Below are 21,003 nucleotides of genomic sequence, written 5' to 3'. Positions count from 1 at the left end.
AAAGGTCGCATGTCTCGGTCACTCTGGGATTGGTTACTGGTTTCTTATTTAGTTCATTTGGTGAGGTCCTGTTTTTCTGGATGGTCTTGATGCTTGTGAATATTCATCAATGTCTGGGTACTGAGGAGTTAGGTATTTATTCTAATCTTCACAATGTGGGCTTGTTTGCACTCACATTTCTCGAGAATGTTTTCCAAGTACTCAAAGGAAATTGAGTGTTGTGATCTAAGTCTTTGGTCACTGAAGCCATATATGCATTAGGAGGCACCCCAATCCCAGTAATGCCATGACTCTTGCAGACTTGTAGAAGTACTGCCTTGGTAGTCTTAGATAAGAACTGGGAGGATTCCCTGGATTACCAGGCAGTCTTCTATTCTCTTCCCTACTTTCCCTCAAATAGAATCTCTCTCTCCATTCTGAGCTGCCTGGAGTTGGGGGAGGGGTGACACAAGCACTCTTGTGGCCACCATTGCTGGGACTGTGCTGGATCACACCTAAAGCCAGTAAAGTACTGGGTCTCGCCCAAGGCCTGTGTCAATTATTGCCTGGCTATTGCTTATGTTTACTCAAGGCCTAAGGGCTCATTAGTCAAGAGGTGATGAATCCTGCCAGGCTTGCGTCTTTCCCTTCAGGGCAGTGGGTTCCCTTCTGGCCCAGGGTGGGTCTAGATATGCTGTCTGGAAGCTAGGACCTGGAATTGGGAACTTTAGGAATCTATTTAGTACTTTATTTTACTGTGGCTAAGCTGGTACCCACATTGCAAGAAAATGACCTTTTTATTCTTCCCTCTCCTTTCCTCAAGCAGAAGTCTCTCTTTTCCTCAAGCAGAAGTCTCTCCCCATGTCCACCACCACCATGAGCCCCAGGTCCATGGCAACAACTGCCTGGCTACTGCTGATGTTTATTCAAGGCACAAGGACCCTTTAGTAAGCAGGTGAATCCTGTCAGGTCTTTGTATCTCCCTTCAGGACAGTGGGTTTCCTTCAGACCTAGGGCAGATCTACAAATGCCATCCAGGAGCTAAGGCCTGGAATTGGGGACCTTAGGGGTCTGTGTGGTACTTTATTTTACCATGGCTGAGCTGGTACCCAAATTGCAAGACAAAGTCCTTTTTACTTTTCCCTCTCCTTTCTTCTAGCGGAAGCTGTCTTTCCCATGGCCACCATAGGTGAGAACGTACTGGGTCACACCTAAAAGCAGCACTACCTAGCTGTGTGATCTTGAGCGAATTACTCAATATCATCATCTGCAAAATGGAAATGATAGTAAATAGTACCTTTCTCATATGATTGTTATAAGGATTAAATGAGTTAACATGTGAACCTGGTATATTATTAGCTACTGTAATTGGTTGTAAAAGTCTGGATATACCTAATGGTACACTTTTTAAAAAATCTTTTTGCCTCTAATATTACAGGTTGAATGTCAGGCATGCCATCTCTTTTCAAATAGATTTAAACTAAAAACATTATTAAAGAAGAAATGAGAGATTGCTCTGGCTACAGGATGAAGAAATGATCAGAGTCAGGGCAGGATTCACCAGGAGAGCAACTCAGTAGTGAGTTCCAGTTAGTTCTAGAGGCTATGATGCAGCTATCTTACAGATAAGCACGCGGGGCAAGTTGCTAGGGGAACCCAGGCTCTAAAATTGCAGTTGAAGTAGGTAAGCTCTAAAATTGCAGTAGGTAAAAGGTAATATGGGTAAGATAATTGCTGCTGGTAGAACTCAATGAGAGGGAAGGCCTGGGGGAGACTGTCAGTAGTGAACCTGGGGCCTAGAGGCAACAATAAAAGTAATGCTTATTTTCAGTTCCTGCAGTCTGTGGCTCCTTCAAACATATTCCTGAGGGCAAAAGGTAACTGACCTTAGGGTGAGGTAGTTGGACGACAGAGTATATAGGTAAAGCAAAGAAAGGCATTGTAGAGCTACACACAGCATTTGCAAAGCCATAAAATGTGCAACAGATGTACTCAGAACTCCCATAGTTCAGAAGCGGGGTGGATAGCAATGAGAGAAGAGACCCCAGGAGAATGGAGAAGGGGCTAGATTATGCTGTCTTGTATGCTATGCATGGCAGCCTCTTTTTAGTGCCTGCTTAGTATTTATCTATCCCTCAGGGAATATGACCCTATTCCTAGCTCAGGGGTAAATCCTGATAGTCTACACCAATCATAATAATCTATTTCATTTCCTAGCATTGGTTTAGGTGTGTGTGTGTAACCCAGTGTAGTCAATGAGACATAGAGAAAAGTTGCCTAGGAGGTCTTTGGGAAAGATTTCTTCACTCTATTATTTATATATATATAGAGAGAGATGGTGTCTTGCTGTATGTATTGCCCAGGCTGGAGTGCAGTGGCTATTCATAGGTATTCATTGGTATGACCATAGCCTTGAACTCCTGGCCTCAAGGGATCCTCCAGCCTCAGCCTCCTTATAGCCTTGGACTTCAGCTACTGGCCACCATCCCTAGCTGGTTTCTTCACTCTTAAAGGATACCTAAGGAATAGTCAGTCTCTTTTCTTCCACTGATGTTGATGTCTGAGATGTGATGCCTGGAAATAGGGCTACTATGTTGTGACCATGAATGGATCTAGCCTGAAAACCAAGCTCGAATACTCCAAGAATGGTAGAGCAGAGATAGAACAAACTGGAGTCATTTATGTCATTGTGGGGCACTGCATCAGCCAAACATAAAGGTGCTCTACTTGGTAACCTCTTGCTATTTGAGATAATAAATGTTTCCTATTGTTTAAGCCAATCTGAGATAGGGCTTTCTGTTATTTGTGGCTGAAGGCATGGTAATTGAAACAACATGCAAAGAAACTTAGCCTTATCATGTAGGGAACATGAGATCAAAAAAAGATCTTTAAGCAAGAAGTGACAATAGCATTTTTTTGCATTGTGGACTAAGCAGTCTGTCAAATAAATTCACTATAATTTTAACATTTAAATGTACCCCAAGTTGATTTTGTCCCATGATATAACAAATACCATATGTTATATTACATATGCCATTTAGTTTGAAGTAAATTTACAAACTGGAATTTAAAATGATAACGTCTACTCTGCTAATGATGTTGAGTATGTACTAGAGGAAGTGAGAGTGAAGAAAAATGATCAGTTAAGTCCATGAGAAGTAATGAGAACTTTAATGAGGAGGAATTGATGAATCAAGAAGCAATATCATCTGGACTTAGTGATGACTGGTGGTAAAAGGGGAGGATTACAAAATGATTCCAAAATGTTGGGCTTGGATTTCCAGGGCTCTATTTACCAGGAGAAGAGCCTGAAGAAGGTTTTGGTTGCAGTGACCAGAAACCTAATCAAGCTAGCTAAGGAAGGATACAGGAGTATCTCTCAGAGCCCAGAGCAAGAAGTTTCACTGGGCCTCAGCCAGAGTAGACTGAACCCTAGGGAACTGGATTCTACCTGTTCTGGGTGATGGCATATGGTCTGTCATTTCTGCTTCTCTCAGCACATCAGCCTCATTTTCTCCAGACTGGTTTTCTCTGTTGGGCGTGGTGATCTTATAGTTATCCCAGCCCCAGCTTTCTTGGACCCAGCAGAGACTAACTCAGGTCTTCTATGTTTCAGTTCCAAACTCTCGGGAGAGAGACTCTAAATAGTCCATCTTCGATCAGGTGCCCATTCTTTGTCCTGAGAGTTCTGGTTGAACAGCTAAATTAGTGGTTTGTAAGGCAATTCCTCCCAGGATTATAAGAGAGCATGTCCTCTAAAAGGGGATATGGGAATAGCGAAACAGTAAATTGATGGAGGAGATGATTACATTTCAAGTATATTAGTGGCTACAAATGATGAAACAGATAGGGATGGGAGCAAATGATAAATTAAAATTTGAATATATTAATTTTGTGGAGCTCAAGGGACCATCAGTGGAAAATGTCTTTTAAGCAGAGATCTGAACTGAAGTTGGAAAGGTGACACCATCAGAATGTAGGTGGGAATAAAAAAAGAAAGAAGGCTGGGTACAGTGGAGCACACCTGTAATCCCAACAATTTGAAAGGCAGAGGTGGGAGGATTGCTCGAGCCCAGGAGTTCGAAAGCAGCCTGAGCAACATGGTGAAACCCCGTCTCTACAAAAAATACAAAAATTAGCTGGGTGTGATAGCACACAACTATAGTCCCAGCTACTCGAGTGGCTGAGGTGGGAGGATTTCTTGACCCCAGGAGGTTGGGCCTGCAGTGAGCCAGGATCGCCCCATGGCACTCCAGCCTGGGTGACAGAGTGAGACACTGTCTCAAAAAGGAAAAAAAAAAAAAGAATAATGAGATATGAGACAGACCTATCAGAAGGATCACATAGACTGAGAAGAGGAGAGTCAAGGTTTGTGCTACCAGACACACTGATTTGTTTTTATTTTATCTACTTTTAAAGTAATGAATAGTTCAATTTTTAGAATCTTGAAATGGTATTTATAAAGAGTTTCCTTCCCACCCGTGTCCCAGCCATACATTTCCCTTCCCTGTAGGCGATATCATCATTTATATCTTTTCAAAGATCAGCTGGGCGTGGTGGCTGACGCCTGTAATCCTAACACTTTGGGAGGCTGAGGCGGAAGGGCATTTGAACCCAGGAACTCAAGACCACCCTGGGCAACATAGCGAGACCCTGTCTCTACTTATGTGATTATATATATATATATTTTCTAAATAAAAAATGTTAAAAAATGATAATCTATGCATGTACCAGTAAATACCTTTATTATTTCTACACCCCCCATATTTTTCAAACACAAATAGTAATATACCATTTACTTAACTTATTTAAACAATTCCTTAGTGATGGATGTTTAAAGTGTTTTCAACTTTTGCTATTATGAACAAAACAACAATGAATAACTGGAGTGCAATTTTTTTTAAAGAAATGGGTGAAGAAGATAAACTAATGAAGAGCCTTGAGGAGGTCGTCAATGGCTCTTGCTCCCACAGTGCCACTCAAACTACAGTAACAGGAGCCATCCATAATCTCCACCCCAGCTCGTCTCTCTTGGACATTGCATGCTGTCATGCTTCTCCCTTGGCTGTCACACCCCCTTCCCATTGGTTTTCCACTCGCTTATCTACTCTTTGCCAGACCCCTGGCTCTTGTCTAAATCTATCCTGTTCTTTTTCTTTTTCTTTTTTTTTAAAGGCAGAATCTTGTTCTATTGCCCAGGCTGAAGTGCAGTGGTGCAATCTCAGCTCACTGCAACCTCCACCTCCCAGGTTCCAGAGATTCTCCTGCCTCAGCCTCCTGAGTAGCTGGGATTACAGGCGCATGCCACCATGCCCAGCTAATTTTTGTATTTTTAGTAGAGACGGGGTTTCACCATGTTGGCCAGGCTGGTATAGAATTCCTGACCTCAAGTGATCCATCCGCTTTGACCTCCCAAAGTGCTGGGATTACAGGCATGAGCCCCTGTACCCAGCCTAAATATCCTAAGTGAGGCAGGGCAACTGCAAGAAGTTATTCTGTGGTTACACCTCTGGAATCTAGAAAGGCCTTTAAGTGTAAACCCATTATGAAAACTAACAATCTCACTAATAGGGATACATTAATATCATTCCTCAATATTTACTAGCCATGTGACCTTGGACAAACTCATTGACCTTTCTGAGCCTTACTTTCCTCACTTGTAAAATCAAAAGAATAATAGTATCCCTTTCATAGGGTGGTTGTGAGGATGAAATGAAAAGATGTATGTAAGCACTCAGAAATAATACTTGGCAGTCGCACTCTTTGCAGAAGATAATGAAAAGCATTTCATAGTAACAGCTCATTGCATTTCAGCTAATATAGAGCTATCCCCAGATGGGCACCTGGGAATTCCTTTCCCCATCTTTGTCTTTTTGTCTTTTCTATTTTACCCTATTGCACATCCCCCAGGGTCCATGCTTCATCCTGCCAGAGCCACAGGAGGTTCAAGGCCAAAGTCAAGTTGGGAAGACTGAAGGTGGCTTCTTACAGCTTTCCATGGCGGTTTCTGCAGACAAATAAATCTACTTCAATCCACTTTTATACTAAATTATCCTCTTTCTACCTAGGGTGGGGAGATCTCTGTCTCCCTGCAGTTTAATACAATAGCTTGAAGGATAAGGACTAAGTAAGGAGGCAGATAATGTAAAAGTAGACTATACTTTTTGAAACCTTGGTAGTGAAGAGAAGAGAGACAGAAACACTAATAACAGGGTTAAGATTGCAATCATTTGAAATTTAGGCTTATTTACAGTCTATTCGATATTGTATGTTGAATGATGCAGTCCAAGCTGGGGAAAATAGGCTTTTGTAGAGGAGTATGCTTCTCTTCTAGACCAGAGAGGTTTGTTCATTCTGGAGCACTCAAAGCAACCAACTCCAACTTCACCAAAGTAGAAAAACCAGCCTCTTAACAAAGAAATTCTTTGCAGTCCTTGGTTCCCATGGCCAATTTTAAAGTCAAAAGACCTCAATACATTTTTTTTGCTTTTATCAATTTAATACATTCACTTACTATTATTATCTGCCTTCAAAAACATCTGACTTTAGGGATGACAGTTTTCACTATCCTGGGGAATTAACCTTAAAACTAATAAGTGTCTCTATGGTGCAGCCAAAGTTACAAAGCCAGACTGAAGTCTGCAGATACCAATGATGGTTGGTCTTTGTTTAACCACTAATCACTAAGAGACCTGACTCCCAGGGGTCTTAAATGTTAGGGTGGAAGATGGTGGATCAGTCTACGGTACTTACTTCCTGACAGCAAGTCAGAAAGTTGATCTTTTTTTACATTTAAATTTAATTTTTATTTTACTGTAGTAAGAACATTTAACATGAGAGCTACCCTCTTAACAGATTTTTAAGTATGCAATACCATATTGTCAACTATAGGCACAATGTTGTACAGCAGCTTTCTAGAACTTATTCATCTCACATAACTGAAACTTTAGCAACTCCCTGTTTTCTCTTCCCCTCCTTCTGCTTCTATAAATTTGACTATTTTAGGTTTTTCCTGTAAGTGGAATCATGCAATATTTGTCCTTCTGTGGCTGGCTTATTTTACTTAGCATAATGTCCTTAAGTTTCATCTATGTTGTCACATATTCAGGATTTCCTTCTGTTTTAAAGCTGAATAATATTCTATTGTGTATATACACCACATTTTCTTATCCATTCATCTATTGATGAACATTTAAATTGTTTCCACATCTTGGCTATTATGAATAGTGCTGCAATGAACATAGGAGTGCAAATATTTCTTTGAGATCCTGATGTCAATTCTATTGGATAAAATTTCTGAAATAAAGAACTCCCACAACTCAACAGCAAAAAAACTAACACCTGATTTTAAAATGGACTAAGGATTTGAATATACATTTCTCCAAATAAAGACATACAGATGGCCAATAGGTATATTAAAAAATGTTCAATTCCACTAATCATCAGGAAAATATAAATCAAAACCACAATGAGGTATCACCTCACTCCTGTTGAAATGACTGTTACCAAAAAGACAAAAGATAAGAGGTGTTAGTGAGGATGTGGTAAAATTGGAACACTTGTTCACTGTTGGTGGAAATGTAAAATGGTACAGCCACTGTGGAAAACAGCATGGAGGTTCTTCAAAAAGTGAAAAATATAACATATAATCAGCCATCTACTTCTGAGTATTTATTTAAAAAGTTGATCTTGATTGACAACCCGAAGTTAGAGAAAATGTGGGAAAACTCTTACACCACACATTCAGTCTCTTTGGATGGCAGTTTATTTAGATGTATCAAATTGTTTTGACCCAGCAATTCTACTTCTTGTATTGAAAGCTGTAAGTACAAGATGTATGTACAAGGTACTACAGATGTATGTTCTTTGCAGCATTGTTTGATAAATGTATCCATCTTTCACTAAAAATAAAACTGAAAGCAACCAAAATGTTTGTAAGTATGTAACTGGTTTTATATAATACAGCCACCAATATTACATAATACATATGTTAAAAAGAAAAATAAGAGTCAATTTTTATTTCAGAGACAGGGCCTTGCTCTGTCATTCAGGCTGGAGTGAAGTGGCATGGTCATAGCTCACTGCAGCCCCAAACTCCTGGGCTCAAGCAATCCTCCTACCCCAGCCTCCTGAGTAGCTGGGACTACAGGTGCATGGCATTAAGCCTGGTTAATTCTTTTTTCATTTTTTTTTTTTTAGAAATGGTGTCTCTCTATGTTGCCTAGGCTGGTCTCAAACTCCTGGCCTCAAGTGATCCTCCCATCTCAGCCTCCCAAATACGTTTTTTTGTTTGTTTGTTTGTTTGGTTGGTTGGTTTTTTTTGAGACAGGGTCTCACTTTGTCACCCAGGCTGGAGTGCAGTGGCACAACGTTGGCTCACTGCAACCTCCGCCTCCTGGGTTCAAGCAATTCTTCTGCCTCAGCCTCCCAAGTAGCTGAGATTACAGGTGCCTGCCACCACACTGGGCTAATTTTTGTATTTTGAGTAGAGACAGGGTTTCGCCATGTTGGCCAGGCTGGTCTTGAACTCCTGACCTCAGGTGATCTGCCTGCCTCGGCCTCCCAAAGTGCTGGGATTACAGGCATGAGCCACTGTGCCCGGCCCCAGATAAGTATTTTACATATATACCCTCATTTGATATTCACAACAGCTCTACATGTAAGGTAATCATACATCTTGATTTGCCAGAACAGTCTCCATTTATACCTGTCACAATATAATGATTAGTAGTGCCCCCTTCATTCTCAAAAGTACCTCTCTTGGACAGTAAATTGTGTGGTCACCTTATCTATGAGGAGGTTATTGTCATCACCTTATTGAATAGCTGAGGAAAGGGAAGTGTTAAGTAACTTTCCCACATTCACACAAGTAGAAGGAGAGACCAGCAGAGATTTACCATGATGTCAGAATACAGTTCTGAATTTCTTGGGGCAAAGAAATGTTGCCTGTCTCTCTAGGACGCCATCGGCTTCCAATCAAAGCTTGAGAAATCAGCCCTGGAAAATTGGGAAATGCTAGTGGCAGGCTTGCAGATGGAAGGCAGTGTAGGACAGTTAAGTCTGTCCATTTCCTCATAAAAGTATATCATTATTCCACCTGAGAGGTTTTTATCATCATCCCTAGGAGCTCATCACTTTTCTTTGCCAACCTTTGGCTCCCTCTCAGGAATTAAGGCCTGGTTTTACCTTTCTGTGTTGGCATTTTACTTTTTTTTTTTTTCCCACCATTCCATCTGTTCTCTTTCCCTGAACTCCCAACAGAGGTGATGCTTTGAGGGCAGGGATAATCATGGGCATAATGATATTTATCTAACTTATCTATACTGTGCTAGGATCAGTCCAGCTAAACTAGGTAAATTCCTCTTGTGTTTACTATTTTACTGGGAGCCAACTTATCTGGAAAGGCTGAACAGTACAGAGAAAAGAGGCTAGAATTTCAGGAAGTTAGGACATATTCATTGGTGAATATGTTGGCTGCCATATTGTTATATCATGCTCAAAATAACCCTAAAAGGTAGGCAGTATTGTCCTAATTTTCTGATGTGGAAATTATAAAGCACATAAATATATCTCACTAAATTCAAACATATGTATCCATTCTTAACTCTTCCTTAACTTGGTATTCCAAAATGCTCATCGCCAACCCAACAGAAGTCAGAGAGGAAAACAACAACCTTTACTGATTGCAGTTGAAATATTCTACTTTTATAAATTTTACAAAAACATATGGCCTTGGGCCAGGCGCAGTGGCTCATGCCTGTAATCCCAGCACTTTGGGAGGCCAAGGCGGGCAGATCACCGGAGGTCAGGAGTTCAAGACCAGCCTGGCTAACATGGTGAAACCCCGTTTCTACTAAAAATACAAAAAATTAGCCGGGCATGGTGATGCATGCCTGTAATCCCAGATACTAGGGAGGCAGAGGCAGGAAAATCATTTGAACTGGGAGGCGGAGGTTGCAGTGAGCCGAGATCACGCCACTGCACCATTGCACTCCAGCTTGGGCAACAAGAGCGAAACTCCATCAAAAAAAAAAAAAAAAAAATACTTGTGAACACGTTAATATAATTCCTCCAGGACCTTGGAAAGTTCCCATGAATTGAGGGTCCTGATGTTTAAGATTTATTAGTTTCATGAAAAATCTGTAAATCCATTTCTGATAACGGAGATAGAATTTGGTAGATGAGGGAGAAATTCCAAACTTGTGTGTCACTGGCAGCTGGTACATAAAGAAATTGATACTGTAAGCCTTCACAGTGGCAGGGTAGGGCTTGGCGACTTGCCTCAGGCTGTGGATCAAAGGGCTCCAGAGTGTGGGATCTAATGGCATAGACTGTGGTCCCTGCAGAGTAGGTAGTGAGCATGGTGAGTAATGTCTGCCACTCACTGCTTCCTGTGATTAACAGAACATGACAATTAAGCAGAATGTACTACTGGCCATTATGGAAAAAGGGCCTGCAGAACTGCCAGGGGAGTTTGTGTTCCAGATGAAGGGAGGCTGACTTGGGACTCCACAGTTCTAAGGGATGGCCTCAAACCTGTCTTTACATAAGTTGGCCACTTCTGTCTATTTGTTGCTTAGGTACCCTCCTATTAGCATCCACTCTAGCTGCACAGTAATTATAATCACTGTGTATAAGTGTTCTGTGAATTAGAGCTTCAAGATAATTTTGAAATAGTTGAGATGAAAAGTTAGACTAGATTAGAAATCCATCTCATTATCTCAAGAAATGCACCATTACATTTGCCAATGATGTTAGGTTGAATATAACATCAACTGTGAATATAACATCAACTGGCTGGGTGTGGTGGCCCCCGCCTGTAATCCCCGCACTTTGAGAGGCCAAAACAGGTGGATCAGCTGAGATCAGGAGTTCGAGATCAGCCTGGCCAACATGGTGAAACCCCGTCTCCACTAAAAAAAAAAAAATACAAAAATTAGCTGGGTGTGGTGGCAGGCACCTGTAGTACCAACTACTAGGAGGCTGAGGCAGGAGAATTGCTTCAACTTGGGAGGCAGAGGTAGCAGTGAGCTGAGATCGCTGTGTCACCCAGGCTGGAGAGCAGTGGTGCAATCTTGTCTCACTGCAACCTCTGCTTCCCAGATTCAAGCGATTCTCCTGCCTCAGCCTCCCGAGTAACTGGGATTATAGGCACGCGTCACGACACCGCGTTGATTTTGTATTTTTAGTAGAGATGGGGTTTCACCATGTTGGCCTGGCTGGTCTCAAACTGCTGACCTCAGTTGATCCACCCGTCTCGGCCTCCCAAAGTGCTGGGATTACAGGCGTGATACATTAGATAGATTGAGTTTTAGGTTCCTGTGGGAACACCGTAGGAGACATTAAGTGGTGTCTAATACTGGAAAGTGCTCTGTAGATATACATTTGGAGCTTGTCAGTGTATGAAAGGTAGTCCAAGTCATGGGAATGGATGAGTTTGACCAAGACACTGGATAATGGGAAGACAATAGAGCCAACAACAGAATTTTGGGATCACTACTTTAATATTACGTGCCAGAGCTGTTTGTATATACAGTGGTTTCTTTCATAAATGTATTTGGGAGGAAAGCATTTTTAGCAAATATGAAATTGCTCCTGTAGGGGAGTATCAAGTTGCCTAGGGACTGTGCCCTCTCCATTTAAGAGTCTCAGCCGGGTGCGGTGGCTCACTCCTGTAATCCCAGCACTTTGGGAGGCTGAGATGGGCGGATGACCTGAGGTAAGGAGTTCAAGATCAGCCTGACCAACATGGTGACACCCCGTCTCTCCTAAAAATACAAAATTAGCTGGGCGTGGTGGCGCATGCCTGTAATGCCAGCTACTCCAGAGGCTGAGGCAGGAGAATTGCTTGAACCTGGGAGGCAGACGTTGCAGTGAGCCAAGATCGCCCCATTGCTCCAGCCTGAGTAACAAGAGGGAAACTCCGTCTAAAAAAAAAAAAAAGAGTCTCAAGGTTATCTAGTTGACTGAGGAGGGTGGATGGTGGTGACAGACTTCAGGATTTAACATAATCTTTCTGGTTGCTCCTTCTCTGACTCTTTTGCTGACTTTCACTATTGAAAAGCATGCACACTGCCAATCCCATTGCTTTCCCTGCTCTCCCTTTATTGTCTCCCTTAAAAAGTCAGTGGTGTGTGGCAAGCAGGGCATGTACCTTGAAAATAGGCAGACCCGGTTTAGAATCCCAGCTAACTGTGCGCATGGGCAAATTACTTAGTCTCTCTAATCCTCTGTTTTTCTCATCATAAATCTGAACTAACAATATCTGCCAGGCAGGGTTGCTGTAAGGACTGGAAACAGTATGTAAAAGCACCCTGCAAAAAACCTGATGTACTGAAGCTGTGCTTACCATCATCAGACAGGTCATCTACCCTAAAGGATTTTTTTTCTTGTTCCTTCTTTCCGCAAAAAAAACACAAAGAATCTAGTCTGACAAGGATTTTGCCCTGATTCAATAAAAATGAGACTGGATTTTCATATTGTTGAAGAGATGATGAGGACTCCCCTTTAAAACCAGAGATGCTAAAATCCTTAAATTATCTGGAAAGATTCTTACTAAATTTTGCTGATAAAGAATCAATACTGAAGATTTTTTTTGTCTCTTTCCCTTCTCTTTTTGGGGAAATCAGAATTCCTGTTCTGAAATGTAAGTAGATCTTTATCTTAAAAATAGGTTGACAAGGACATCTCTCTCCTTTTTCTTTAAGCAGATGGTAATTTGTGATTTTTTCCCCCTGGTGCTGGATTCCGCCTGGAGGTATTAGGTGTGGACATTAGGACATGGTCAATGTTCCACCATAATTCCTTACCAGTAGATACCAGTTTCTGCAAATAACTTCTGCATTGAAATTTTGAGTTCTAGGCTGGGCGCGGTGGCTCACGCCTGTAATCCCAGCACTTTGGGAAGCTGAGACGGGCCGATCACGAGGTCAGGAGATCGAGACCATGGTGAAACCTCATCTCTACTAAAAACACAAAAAATTAGCTGGGCATGGTGGTGGACGCCTGTAGTCTCAGCTACTCGGGAGGCTGAGGCAGGAGAATGGCGTGACCCCTGGGAGGCAGAGCTTGCAGTGAGCCGAGATCGTGCCACTGCACTCCAGCCTGGGCAACAGAGCAAGACTCCATCTCAAAAAAAAAAAGAAAGAAATTTTGAGTTCTAATATTACTCCTTCACTCCACTTCCATGTTTTTAATTAGGTTCTGGCCATTTTACCTAGAAACACCACTGCTCCTCACACTAGACACTTTTAACACTGGTAGTTTCATTGTCTTCCTCTAAGCTCTTTCTTCTGGCTGTCCAAATTTCTTCGGTACCATTATTCTCCTGGTGATACAAGTTCAAAAATCAGGAGGCTGGGTGGCTGAAAAACATGATCAAAGACCCTGATCATTCCTGTCTCTCTGTTCACTCATCTTCATCTTCAGGCCAGCTGCCCTCTTGGTTACAAAATGGCTGCCAGAGATCTAGGCATCACCCTAGATACTCCAATGTTCAGATGAAGCAGACAGTAGTTTCTCTTGTATGTGTAATATGAATAAAGAAATATTTCCCTAAAGTCCTTCAGCAGACGTCTCACATCTCATTGGCCAAAACATGCTCATTTTAAAAACAATCAGTCACTGGTAAGGAGTATAGGGTTGTCATGATTGGCTTAGATTAATCAAGATATGGCCCTGAGCCAGGGATAGTGTCATCTTCCCTGATGTGTAGATACCCAAATAAAACTGGAGTTCTTCTAACAAGAAAAAAGGGGAAAATCAAAAGAAGTAAGATATATGATTCTGGTTTCCTTCTACCATCTTAGTCCAAACCCCGGACTAGCGTCTCAAGGACAGCTGTGATAGTTTACCAACTGGTCTCCCCACATTTTTTCCATCACAATTTTGTTGGATTTATCTTCCAGAAACACTGCTTTTCCACTTAGCCCTTTTGTTTAAAAATGCCATTGGTTCTCTCTAACCTTCAGAAAAACATTCAAACATACCATAGAATGTTTAAACCATAGAATATAAGAGTTAGAAGGCCCAGCGAGCTTTGAATGTCAAAACTAGCACCAAGAGCTAGACTAGAAAACATGGACGTGTGGTCTTAGCTAAACACCTCTTTTGCTTAACCAAAGGAACAGTATACAGAAATCTCCCTAAAAGAACAATCTTCAAGCTAAGTTAAGTAACTTTCTAAGGAGGTGTATCAGTACAGATTCTTAAGAGAATCAATTTTGGCTTGTTCTCTCTGAAGGCTAGCCTTAAGTTTCATACAAATTCTTTTTTTTTTTTAGATGGAATCTCTCTCTGTCACCCAAGATGGAGTGCAGTGGTATGATCACGGCTCACTGCAACCTCCGCCTCCCAGGTTCAAGTGATTCTTCTTCCCCAGCTTCCCAAGTAGCTGGGACTACAGGCACGCACCACCATGCCTGGCTAATTTTTGTATGTTTAGTAGAGATGGGGTTTCACCATATTGGCCAGGCTGGTCTCGAACTCCGGACCTCGTGATCCGCCTGCCTCGGCCTCCCAAAGTTCTGAGATTACAGGCATGAGCCACCATGCCTGGGCCTACAATTTTTACGTGTGTGTGTGTGAGAGAGAAAGAGATAGAGAAAGACAGACAGAGAGAGAGAGAGAGACAGAGACAGAGAGAGAGAGACAGTGTCTTGCTCTGTCACCCAGGCTCAAGTGCAGTGGCATGATCATGGCTCACTGCTGCCTTGGCTTCCTCAGCTCAAGCAATCCTTCCACCTCAGCCTCCCCAGTAGCTGGGACTACAGGCCTGCGCCTACCATGCCCAGCTAATTTTTTTTTTTTTGTAGAGACGAGGTCTTACTATGTTGCCTAGGCCGGTCTTCTACTATGTTGCCTAGGCTTAAGCAATATTCTCACCTCAGCCTTCCAAAGTGCGCTGGGATTATAAACATGAGCCATCATATCCAGCCAAATTCTTTATTTTCACCTTCCATTGCAAAACAGCCTATCTTCTCCTTACCTGTCTTGACTCTTACCTTGGTACCTCCAAAATCTTGAGACCTCTGGGGAATAGGGGAGGGGGAAACAAAGGGACCATTTGAAGTATTGGCTCCTCCCATCCCTGGCCTCTCTGGTTATTGTCAAAGAATGCATAACTCTGGAGAGAGAGACCCATGACAGCAAAGTAAAGAACACTTCAAATGCTAAAAATGGAGTCTGCTTTTTGTTTTCACTTATTTTCAAAACAAAATTCTCAAAACCTAGGAGGGGCCATTAGCTGGAAAAAATGTCTCTGAGCAGCAGATGCAGTGCCAGATACTGATGCTGATTCAGGGCTGAGTGATGCATCCATACCAAGCACATACCAAATTTTCACATGCCTTTCCGAGTGTCATTCACCTTTTGTAGAATGCAGTGTGAATGATCCCTCTAAAATTGGGGGTAACATAAAAATAGTTTTAAATTTAAATGGAATGTTTTCTGAGGTTACTACATTCTCTACTACACAAGATAGAATTCATGGATTAAAAATTCACCTGATTTTTTTACATAACGTACACATCATTGAATAAAGTAATTAAAACCTACTTCTATGAAATTACGTCATTGAATATTTTTCCAGTGATAGTCAATTCTCAACTTATTTCTTCTTTTAACTGATTTTTAATTTTTATTTTTTTTAAAAAACAGAGACAGGGTCTCACTATATTGCCCAGACTGGCCTCAAACTCCTGGGCTCAAGTAATCATCCTACCTCAGCCTCCCAAAGTGCTGGGATTACAGGCGTGAGCCACTGTACCTGGCCTATTTCTTCTTTTAAAACATTTATTTTTACTCCTATTAACACAAAGTAACATTATATGCCAGCTGCCAGACTTCATTTTTAGCAATTCATACTTTTTCTTTTTCATTAAGTAGATAGGAAAAGTTAACAATAAAAGTTCTAAAAACAGCTGGATGTGGTAGCATGCGCCTGTAGTCCCAGCTCCTCAGAGGCTGAGGCGGGAGGATCGCTTGAGCCCAGGAGTCCAAGGCTGGAATGAGCTGTGATGGTATCACTGTACTCCAGTTTGGGTGACCAAGTGAGACCCTATTTCTTAAAAAAAAAAAAAAAAAGGAAAAAACTTCTTCCATTACCATCCATCCTCTTATATATCTTTTTATAGAAAGATTTTTTATATAAACATTTATAAAAATAAAAAGTAGGCATAAAATTAGTACTCTAAGTTGAGATACATGAACTAATTGAAAATAGTCCCATTCATCTTATTAAGAACTATATCTCTAATAAAATGTTTCTTTTTAAGTTATTTATATTAATTTAACATGTATGTGGGTCACTTTGATATTTTTACACCAATAATAATTGTAATAATAATAAGTTTTTGACTCTTTAGAGGCTTGGCCATGGTAGAAACTATTACCTGGCTCCCACAATTTGTTCCACCCTCCTTCGGGTACGTAGGTAGCCTACTTTTCCCCATCATCCTTGCTGTAACATGTAGTCATGTAATTGTTCTGGCAACAACTTGTGAGTGGAAATCATGTATGTCACTTCCAGGCCTGGTCCCATGAAATATCTTCTGTGCTTTTCTTTGCTTTTTCTCCTTCTACCAGCTACACGAATTGAGAATGAGGCTCTAGGAAAGCGGTTGGCGAACTTTGGTAAAAAGCCAGACAGTAACTATTTTGGGCTTTGCGGCCACATAAAGCCTCTGATGCACATTCTACTGGTTGTTTTTTTGTTTGTTTGTTTGTTTGTTTTTTGTTTTTTTGTAGCCTTTTAAAGATGTAAATCTATTCTTAGCTCCCAGAGCACACAAAAATAGGCCCACAAGCTAAACCCTTTTTCTAGGAGACAGGGAAGCCATAAGATGAAAGGAATTAGGTTCCCCTCATCACTATGTGGTGGGGAGCACTTTGCTTACCTGGGGACCTCACCCAGGACTATTCTGTGAGAAAGAAATAGGCTTTGATTGTGTTGAGCAGTTACATGCTGGACCTATTTGTTATTACAAATCAGCTTCATAATAACACAGGAAATAAAAAAATTACAAACATTTTTAATGCAGAGAAGTATAATATAAAAAATGAATAATAAGACCTTTAAGCATAATAATATAGTACATTAAGATAAATATGTAGAAGTAGAATAAAAATAGGAGCTTAGGGAAAAAACATCTGACTGTTAAAAAAGAGCTCATTTGTAGACTTTTAAAATGGATGTGGTGGGCATCAAATCGCTTGGATTTAGATTCAATTGGATATTTCAAAGCAAATTGCAATAGTTTATTTTAAAATATCTATATTAATAACATCATGAAAATTACAACCTTTGCAATTATTCAAACATACGATGTAATATTTTAGATGTCAACTGAAAATTTTGTGAAGGAGTACATGGTTTTAAAACATTCTGTTAGGGGATATGCCAGCAGAAACTTTTGAAGAGGCTTCAAAGAACCCTTATAGACTCAGAACCAAACCTCTTTTGAAAGCTTCGTAGATTCCCTGGGCTGAATGTACAAGCAGGGGTTTTTCTGGTTTGCCTCTGCTCTTTTCGAAATCCTGTGTCTAGGTCACCTTAGACAGTGTTCATACACAGGAATGTCCTTGCTTGTCAGGAGTCCTGCCAGCGGTGTTGAGAGGCCAGGTGTAGACCCGTTTCTTCTGACCTTAGATTCCCCAGTGGATCATGAGGATGAAGCTGTTTTCTTTCTTCCTTTCAAAAGTGTTCCCTTCTTGGTGGTTCTGAGGATTCATGAGTTAAATATTTGTTAAGTTTTTGCAATATTTGGCTGAAAGTACGAAGTCTTATTTATTATTGCTGGATGGATGAAAGGTATTATACAAGTGCAAAGTATCATTTCTTCCCAGGACAGACGGCGTTGTCATGCTTAATCCCCAGGCAGCTCATGACCCCATTCTCTTGCACGGCCTCCTCATTTACATAACCAGCCACAAACTGAGTTGAAAGGACTCCTGCAAGAGGATTTGCACTTTCTCCTTTTCTTCAGAATGTGTATCTGCCTAAGCAGTGTGATAACTTTTTTCCCAGACTGGATCGATATTCCTTAGCTGGTCCTGTTGCAGCAGGAGTCCGGTGACTGGAGAGAGGAAGCTCTTGGGCAGTGAGTAAAAAAAGAGAATTGACTTCTTTTTTTTATCTGTTTCTGTCTACTCATCAGGCCCTGGACAAGTCACTTCACCTCTTGCCTCATTTTCTTTTCTTTTCTTTTCTTTTTTTTTTTTTTTGAGACGGAGTCTCGCTCTGTCGCCCAGGCTGGAGTGCGGTGGCATGATCTCGGCTCACTGCAAGCTCCGCCTCCCGGGTTCACGCCATTCTCCTGCCTCATCCTCCCGAGTAGCTGGGACTACAGGGGTCCGCCACCAGGTTGGACATCAGCACCTGTAGAGGGGATAGCACTGGATATGGAAAACTTAGAGTAGATAGTGAAGGAGGAAGAGGATAAATAGCAGTTATGGCCTCAAGACCAACTACAGCGGTAGGGGCTGTGGTTTGTCTCATTAATCGCCCTCTTCTAAGATTCCCCTGAGGAGGAAAGGCCCACAGCAACCTTGGATGAACTGCGCCCTGAAAAATGGAGAAGTCAGCCTGTGTGATGCAGTCTGTACGCACTGTGATAAAAACCATGTGGGTAAATGCTTAGGACTTTCTTCAATAGAGTCACTGTGAGGACAGCAGTGAGCTGACATCTTCACCAGCCACACCTGTAAAATTGCTTGCACTGTTCACACTGAAGGCCGTGGTTTCTTGTCTACCAAGGGTTGAGCCCAGCTGGGTGCTAGAGCTGAGCCATTGCTGCCCATCGCGGGACGCCCCTAAGGGTCAGCTGTTGCCTTGGAAGCACTGGCCTGGTCGGGGCTGAGACTTTTCCTGGCCAGCCCTCCTTCCTACCCTCCTCCTTCACTATTGACAGACGTGCATTGCAATCTGAATACTCTCCTAGCTTACTCACCTTCTTTCTCCTCTTTAACTTTTGCAGGCATTTTCCCCAATACATCTCTGCTCATCTGACTCTTATCTTGGCATCTGCTTCCTGGTGGATCTGAACTGACCCATAAGCCACGCTTACTAGTGATTTTCCAGGTAATCATCTATTTTTATTCATTTTTTTTTCTTGATTGGTAGTTTGAACATGATATTAAACACATTTACTGTATAAATATAGATATCATTGTTGGCCAGTTTGCTGTAATTGAACTCTCCAGAGGGGTTTCAGGATGGTTTTGCTTTTTCTAGAAATTGTAGCAGGGAAGCAGAGGTCTACCTTTGTCTGTTTTCAGAAGGGCAAGTTTACCTTCAGAGTTTCCCTGGATTACTTTTAATGTTTCCTTTCCTTTTCCCTCCCACTGGACTCTAGTACTGGGGACCTTGTTTGTCTTCTTTAAACGATAGAAGTGCAAGTTCAAGTGAAATGACATTTCTAGAAGAATGGAAATTCCTTATTTAAGTGAAGCCCTTTTGAGTTCAGATGGGTATGTGATAACAGAAAGAGAAGAGCACTCTTGTTCCCAGACTAGCTACCCACTGCTGCCCAGGCTGCAGAGTAATGGGACTGGTGCAGGAACTCATTTGGGATTTTCCTTGGTAAGATTATGTGGTCACAAAGGAGGTTCCCTTGTAAGATGTGGGGTTCTTGTATATGTGGGGGTATATTGTATATGTGTATTGTTCTTGTATATGTGGGGGTTCTTGTATATGTGTATAACCTTGTATATGTGGGGTTCTTATTTCTTGTTCCACAAAAACAAAACCCCTGGCAGTGGTGAAATAGAAAAGACTGACTAAAGGTAAAAACTTGGACTCTGTACAAAGGCCTTTGGTGATTTTGGGTAAAAAAGGCCAAGTCTCTCCCACGCCAATGGCTTGTGTTGGAGGCTGTAAAGTTACTCATTTAGCAAAGCTGACCAGAAAGTCAAAGGGAGGATTCATTAGCAAGGTTGAAATTTACCACTAGATTATGCTTGTCTTTCCAGCCAAACAGAATGAGACTTCATGGCAGTCTTTTTGTGGGGTGTTCAAACACTAATGAAAAAAAATTTGAAACCAAGGTGACTTTTTGGTGAGTGGAGTGTCTGAGGGAGCTTATGTGGAGAAATCAATGTAACTATTGCCTCAGTGTTGTCAGAGAATTTATTAAAAGGGATCCCCCGTTCCCCATTGGTAACTACTTATTTTTTTCTAAGAATGGGATCCAACACTTCAAATTTTAGACCTTGAGTTGTGATGTGAAGCAATGAAGACTCAGTTTTTTGTTGTTTTTTTTGAGACACAATCTTGCTCTGTTGCCCTGCCTGGAGTGCAGTGGCGCCATCTCGGCTTACTGCAACCACTGCCTCCCAGGCCCAAGTGATTCTCCTGCCTCAACCTCCTAAGCAGCTGGGATTACAGGCGCCCGCCACCATGCCCGGCTAATTTTTTGTATTTTTAGTAGAGACGGGGTTTCACCATGTCGGCCAGGCTGGTCTCAAACTCCTGACCTCAGGTGATCTGCCCGCCTTAGCCTCCCAAAGTGCTCAGATTACACGCCTGGCCAAGAGTCAGCTCTTGACAGCCCCAAAAATCTATCCTTAGGGCAGATAGAAGAGAGAGATTTTTCACATGATAATGTATTTAAATCAGGATTAGACAAAGAACTTCATCCTTCCTTGCTGAAAGATACAAGTTGTCATATTTAATTGGAAAAAGGCAGTCTTTTACACTTATGAGAGAAGTGGATACCTAAAAATCTAGAGGCTTCTTTCCCTAAAAGCCATTAACCAGTATTATTTTTATAGATTTAATGCCAACTAACCAGACTCTGAATTATTATCATCTCTAGTGTTGAACTCCAGGCTGTACAATCTATACGAGGGATAAGCCTTGACTGACACTTTCACAGACAGCAGTTACAGAATTTTTTAGGAAGGTGACAGGTAGATCTCAAGGGTCTTCTCATTCACTTTTTCTTTGGTATCTTATCAAGATGTTTTAATTCTCTTTTCAAATATCTTCAGATTCTTTTCCCTCTGGTGAAACAGATGGCAGGTAGG

The 21,003-nt window shown here is 41.6% G+C and overlaps 1 protein-coding gene across 7 annotated transcripts in view, besides 2 other annotated features; it reads left to right on the top strand.

Annotated features, from left to right (window-relative positions):
• WWTR1 (WW domain containing transcription regulator 1) overlaps positions 1–21,003 on the top strand; it is a 207,554-nt gene that overhangs the window by 35,944 nt on the left and 150,607 nt on the right. For 5 of the 7 annotated variants that reach the window (NM_001348362.2, XM_047447933.1, XM_047447931.1 and 2 more), the window contains one exon: positions 18,954–19,057. The gene's annotated coding sequence lies outside the window, so the exon portion shown is untranslated. Of the gene's footprint in view, positions 1–17,937; positions 18,078–18,287; positions 18,602–18,953; positions 19,058–21,003 lie in introns of those variants that run through there. The other 2 variants (XM_017006122.2, XM_047447930.1) reach the window with 2 other exon arrangements.
• Positions 10,063–10,564: an enhancer, noted in NCBI's record as "NANOG hESC enhancer chr3:149396068-149396569 (GRCh37/hg19 assembly coordinates)". NCBI's record gives its function as "activates a minimal SCP1, AML or CMV promoter by ChIP-STARR-seq in primed H9 embryonic stem cells {active_cell/tissue: H9 hESC(primed)}" and the evidence as "EXISTENCE:reporter gene assay evidence [ECO:0000049][PMID:30033119]".
• Positions 17,654–18,194: an enhancer, noted in NCBI's record as "OCT4-NANOG-H3K27ac hESC enhancer chr3:149388438-149388978 (GRCh37/hg19 assembly coordinates)". NCBI's record gives its function as "activates a minimal SCP1, AML or CMV promoter by ChIP-STARR-seq in primed H9 embryonic stem cells {active_cell/tissue: H9 hESC(primed)}" and the evidence as "EXISTENCE:reporter gene assay evidence [ECO:0000049][PMID:30033119]".

This window comes from Homo sapiens, chromosome 3 (assembly GCF_000001405.40).
Source record: "Homo sapiens chromosome 3, GRCh38.p14 Primary Assembly".
Taxonomy (NCBI): Eukaryota; Metazoa; Chordata; class Mammalia; order Primates; family Hominidae; genus Homo; species Homo sapiens.
This window is presented reverse-complemented; position numbering and strand designations above follow the sequence as displayed.